Source organism: Homo sapiens, chromosome 1, assembly GCF_000001405.40.
Source record: "Homo sapiens chromosome 1, GRCh38.p14 Primary Assembly".
NCBI classification, from domain to species: domain Eukaryota; kingdom Metazoa; phylum Chordata; class Mammalia; order Primates; family Hominidae; genus Homo; species Homo sapiens.
This window is the reverse complement of record NC_000001.11, coordinates 219598217-219604025: the sequence shown is the minus strand read 5'-3', so window position 1 is coordinate 219604025 and position 5809 is coordinate 219598217. Positions and strand designations below refer to the sequence as shown.

Sequence of the window (5809 nt, the reverse complement as noted above, 5' to 3'; positions counted from 1 at the left end):
GCCGTGTCTACCTCTTCTGCCTCATCTGAACCTTAGCTCTTTCCACACCCTTCTCATTCTGCTACAGTCATCTAGTTCTTACTGTTCTATGAGCAGCTCATTTGTTAAGCTCATTTCTTCTCCAAGGAGTGGCTCCATTTCTCGAGCGATTCCCATTTCCACTGGCTGGTTTATCATTATCATATAAGCTCCATGTCTAACTCAAGTGTTACCACTTCAAATGGGTTTTCACCATCCTAGCTAAAAGAGCAGCCACTGTCTCTCTTGCTCTGTTTTATATCTTCATGGCAATATTGCCAACTGAAATTTTATTATTATTATTTTAAAATATTATTTATTTCTTACTAGAAGGTTAGTTCTGTAATGACCAACTTTTCCTGTTGTGTTCACTATTGTTTTCCAAGCACATAATCGATACCCATTAAATATCTGTCAAATGAATACATACTTTTTAATGGGGATGATGAATAAAATATTATTTTTTGAGGAGGGAATAAAAGAACATACGTATATCTATAAATACTACACTTGATCTTAGCCAAAAGGCCGAGAAGCGATATGTATATCTATAAATACTTAAAAAGTATGAAGTACTACAATATTAATATTCATAGATATATAACTAAAAGGGTTGGATGGTAAACAAAGTACTTGGACATGTTTCTGGTAAGTTTCTCTATGAGCTGGGACATAAGTTTTACATTTAATCCTATTTTCTATGTTAAAGGAGGATAAGTGAGTTTTACCCATTGAACAAATAGACCCATTACTCATATTTCACAATTAGCTGCTTTATGCATATTTGACCAGTGTTGCGCTTTAAGCAATTACAGTTAACACTTAGTCCTGGACTTACAGATGGTTTGACTTATGGATGGGGAACGCAGTAGAATATTGTGTTCCCAATAATGCTGCCTATTTACAAAAGCAGCGTTTCCATCCTTTTCATTAGTTAAAAGTGAATAGTTTTTACTAATTAAATTAATATTTAATATTTAATTTGTGTCAATTAAATATGCACAAATTCTGCACAACCCTCAGCCCCCTTTTGCAGATTCTGATATGACAGTTGAGTATTATTATATGAGTAATGATAACTGTCAGGGCCAATGTTGGAAGCAACCATGTGACCTACTAATACAATATTTATTCTCTGTCCCTTTGATTTTCTGTTTAGTAGGCTCTCCAAATTATCACTCATTATGTATCCCAAAGCAGAAATCAGTGTAGGTAGCATTACTAAACTTAGCAAATAAAAATATGGGATGCCAAGTTAAATGTGAATTTCAGAAAAATGAGTGCTTTTCTAGTATAAGTATGTCCTATGCATAAGTATGTAGGGGTACAGTTTTGCTAAAAATTATTTATTGTATATTTGAAATTTAAATTTAGCTGGATATCATGTATTTTATCTGGTAAACATATATATAGGATATAGCCAGTGACATAATTCCTGATGCCATCACTGGTCCTTTGGCTCAGACCACAGTATTTCTAATATCAGCGGAGCACAGCTAGATTGTTCAACTGTTGCATCTGTTAAGGTGGTTAGAAGATGGTATTTCATGGAACAAGAATATTTACTATGCCTTCCTTTATCTAAGTGCCTTTAATATGTTTCCTTTTATTTGAATAACTTTGAGTGAGAAATAGACATAAAGGAGAGTTTTCCTATGATGCTTGACTAACTCTGAATACTTCCTGGCACTTGTAAGATAAACTTGGTCATGATAAATTAAGTGATCAGTTATTGCTCCCAAGGTTTCTGTCATCTGGGTTTAGGGTCAGAGGTGGATTTTCTGTGAAGTTAAGAAAACTATAGCTTTAGGGCCGTCACTCGCATAGGTCACTTCCACAGCCCCGTGCCTAATTTTGTATTCTTTTTCTTAAATACAAAAAAAAGAGACCTCCCAAACTCTATAAGTGCCATGAAAATCTGCATTCTATCCCCTCATCCCCCACCCACGTCTAGGGATAAACAGTCTAGCATGCTAGCTCTAGATAATTGCTGCTTTGGATAATTTCCAGATAAAATGCCCAAATTGACAAGACAAATGTTTTACATGTAAACAAGTTGCACTTACTTATCTTAGGCCCCCAACAACCTGATTCATTTCAGCTATTGGCTTTTTCTTTTCTCTATGGTCACAGTTATCACAGTATGCTCTCAGGAACATGGGGGCAGAGCTTCAACGTTAAACAGATCTTTCTGTTTTCCTTTCCACTGGGAGATACCTAGTTCAATGTTCCTGTAACCAGTTGTAATATATGCCAATCTCAAAGTTAAATTCTGGCTCTTTAGGAGGGAGCTTTCATCTGAAGACCTGGGATCTTCAGATTATCACTGCGTTGTCACTTCCCCTAATTTAACAGCTGCTTGTTTTGCTTTACTCCAGTCCTCAACCCCCAGATGAGGTAGTAGAGATCCCCTACTGTTTCATGGAAACACCAGCAACATGGACACAAAGGCAAACTGCAGCTTTCCTCACACCTCTTAAAGAGCATCTTGAACCCTACAAGTCTAGATGGCCCTGGCCTATTCCCTGGGGGATATTTTTTCCCTATAGGTAGGGCTGGTGAGATATTATGTTGGAGTCACCCGGGGCCTATTCTTGTACCTCTTCTGTCTTTCTTTGGGTATTTTCATTCACTTGGTAATCCCATCTTTTGTCATGGCTCTAAAAACCATCCAAATGTTGACAGCTCCCTAGTTTATATCTGGGAAATAATAGGAGGGTTTAGAGTAAAGAAGTGACCCGATACATGCGTGATTAACACATGCTTAAAGGATCAGCCCCGAATTCTCCCTTGACTCAAAACTTATTCAACTGTCTATCTGGGTGTCCTTTAGGCATCTCAGACATACTGTGATCACAGCTGAGCTCCTGATCTTGCCTCCAAATATGGTCTTTCTGCAGTTTTCCGTATCTCGATAAATGACAACTTCATCTTCCCAGTGTTTCAGGCCAAAAATCTTGGAGTCATTTCTGACTCCTCTGTTATTCTCACGTTAGCTGTTCAAACTATCTAAATAACAGTCTACCTACTAAATACCCTTTGTCTCTACCTTCAGAATATATCCAGAATCTGATCCCTTCTCAGTATCTTCACAGCAAACACCTGGCCCAGGCCACCTCATCTCCTACGTGGCCTTGTAATTGCCTCCTAACTGGTCTCCCTGCTTCTGTTTTCAGCCAACTTTAGTCTGTACTCAATGTAGCAGTCAAAGCAGTCTTTTCAATACAGAAGTCAGAGCATGTTAGTTATCCTCTGCTCAAAAGCCTCCAAGAGCTTCCCACATTAATAGGAATAAAAGCCCAAGTCCTATAATGGCCTGCAAGGTGGTATCTGATCAGACCCTCTGCAATGACTATTGTCCTTGTCTTCTAAAATTTTATCCACCACCCACTCCCCTCCAGCCTTGCTGACCTTGCTGTTTTTCACAGAAGCCAAACATTTCCCCACTTAGTGCCTTTCCATTGGCTGTTCCATCTGCCTGGATTGCTCTTCCTTCAGGTGTGTCTATCTGTGTGTGTGTGAGTATGTGCGTGTGTGTGTATACATGCTTACATGCTTCCTTACCTCTTTCAAGTACTTTCTCAAATGTTACCTTCTCAATGATCACCCCATTTAAAATCGAAACCCCCCCTCCACAATTGTTAATCCTTGTTTTGATTTTTCTCCATAGCATTCATTACTTCTAAGATAGGTTTTTAAAAATTTTTTATTCTGTCTCTTCCAATTAAATATAAGCTCCATGAAATCGGGTTTTTATCTGTTTTCGTTCCTGCTCTATCATTCCTAGCACTCAGAATAGTGCCTGTCACAAGAAATGGAGGGCACTCAACATATATCCATTGAATGCATAAAACAGGATAAGAAAGTCTTAAACATTTGCTTAATGTGTCTTCATCAATCCTTAAAGGTTCAAAAGCACTCAACCCTCTTTCTCTTCTTTGGACTTCCCCTTATGGTGTGTGTGTGTGTGTGTGTGTGTGTGTGTGTGTGTGTGTGTGTGTTTTCCAGCTAAAACCTAATATCCTTGAGTTACACCATTAAGAGAGTTGCAGCTAGCTCTTCAGAAATCTTGTATCTACTGAACTCCAAGAACATCATTTATTCAGTACCCAAGGATGGGACATAGCCAATGATGATGATGGGAACATTTTCAGGAACTGTGCTCACTCACATAGATTTTTGTTGATGGAATAAGTTTCTGAAGGTCTGTTTATCAGGGTAAAACTTCAGTCCTGTATCAACTAACAATCCCATACAGAAGAGTCACTGTTTATATTTCTCCAAAGCCTGGTCAAAAGTAACTTTGACTAATTTGATTAAATTGATTGATAACTCAAAGTAAATCATATCACCAAAACACTTCTCATTCCAATGCTTGATAGTTATGGAATTTGCTGAGACCACCCACTGAATACCCGTTCAAATGAATGGAATCTCACAGAGCACACATAATCATCTCTGACTTTTGTAGCCATAGGGATACATTAATACCTGTGCCTCATACTTAACTGAAAATCACCAGTTGTCTGCTGAGTAGTTTACTGCATGTCAAATCTGAGGTCCAGTGTAATAGACTGTTTTACTACTTCTATTCAGAATTTTCTAATTCATAGACATTCTAATTTTATTTGTCTTTTTCTCTCAAATACCATGATAGGGTGAAAGTTTGAGCTTTTGTATCTTAATGTTTATTGAATATTAAGATACATAGAGAATACTCTACTATACATAAATGCATACCACTCAATGAATTGTCCTTGGATCAACATTGCTGTAAAACTATTCAAGTTAAAAACTAATATTTCCAGTATCCAGAAGTCTTCTGATGTCTCCTCCCCATCACTACTCCCTTCTTCCTCCCCAATGTAACTGTTACGCTCATTCTAACATTGGAGTTCAGTTGTGTCTCTTTTCCAACTTTCTATAAATGAAATCATCTGTATAAATCTTGCATCTGGCTTCTTTTGCTCCATATTATGTTTGTGAAATTCATCTATATTATTGAATATAATAACTGTGGTTCATTCAGTATTACTGCTTCATAGTATTCCACTTTATGAATTTATCACAATATATTGTTTCTAGTTTTTCATTTTTATAAATCATGTTGCTCTGGGCATTCTTGGAAATATTTTTGGTTACCATGATCCCCTTTCTGTTGAATATACACTTTGGAGTGCAATATCTGTGTCATAGGTATGTACATGTTCAACTTTAGTAGATAATGTAAGCAGTTTTCCTAAATCATTGTCCCAATTTAACTCCCACCAGCAATATAAGAGACATCCTATTGCTACATATCCATGTCAGCAGTTAGGATTATCTCTCTTCTTTATTTTAGTTATTCTCCTTGGTAAATAGTAGTAGTATCTCATTGAGGTTTTAATTTGCATTTCTCTGACTACAAATAAGATTGAAAATATGCAGACATCCTTTTCCTGAAGTGTCCACTCAAGTATTTCCTTCTTTTTTCTATTGCATTGTTTATCTAGTTATAGTTAATTTGTAAAAGTTTAAAAATTATTTATCTGGATGCAAGTCTTTTGTTAGTTATGTGTGTTGCAAATATCTTTCCTCACTCTGTGGCTTGTTTTTATAGTCTCTAAATGGTGTTTGTGTTGAAAAGAAGTTTTTAATTTTAACATCCAATGTATCCATCTTTTCTTATGAACAGTCATTTTTGGTCCCAATTTATCAAATCCTTACCTATCCTAAAGTCTTGAAGTTATTATCTGTGTTATAGTCTTAGATTATCTTCTAATTGATTTATTATTTTCTCTTTCACACTTTT

General features: G+C 36.5%; 1 pseudogene; it reads right to left on the bottom strand.

Moving 5' to 3' along the window:
• Positions 1–455: 455 nt before the first annotated feature.
• On the bottom strand, positions 456–558 carry LOC124904657 (uncharacterized; annotated as a pseudogene).
• Positions 559–5809: the final 5251 nt, after the last annotated feature.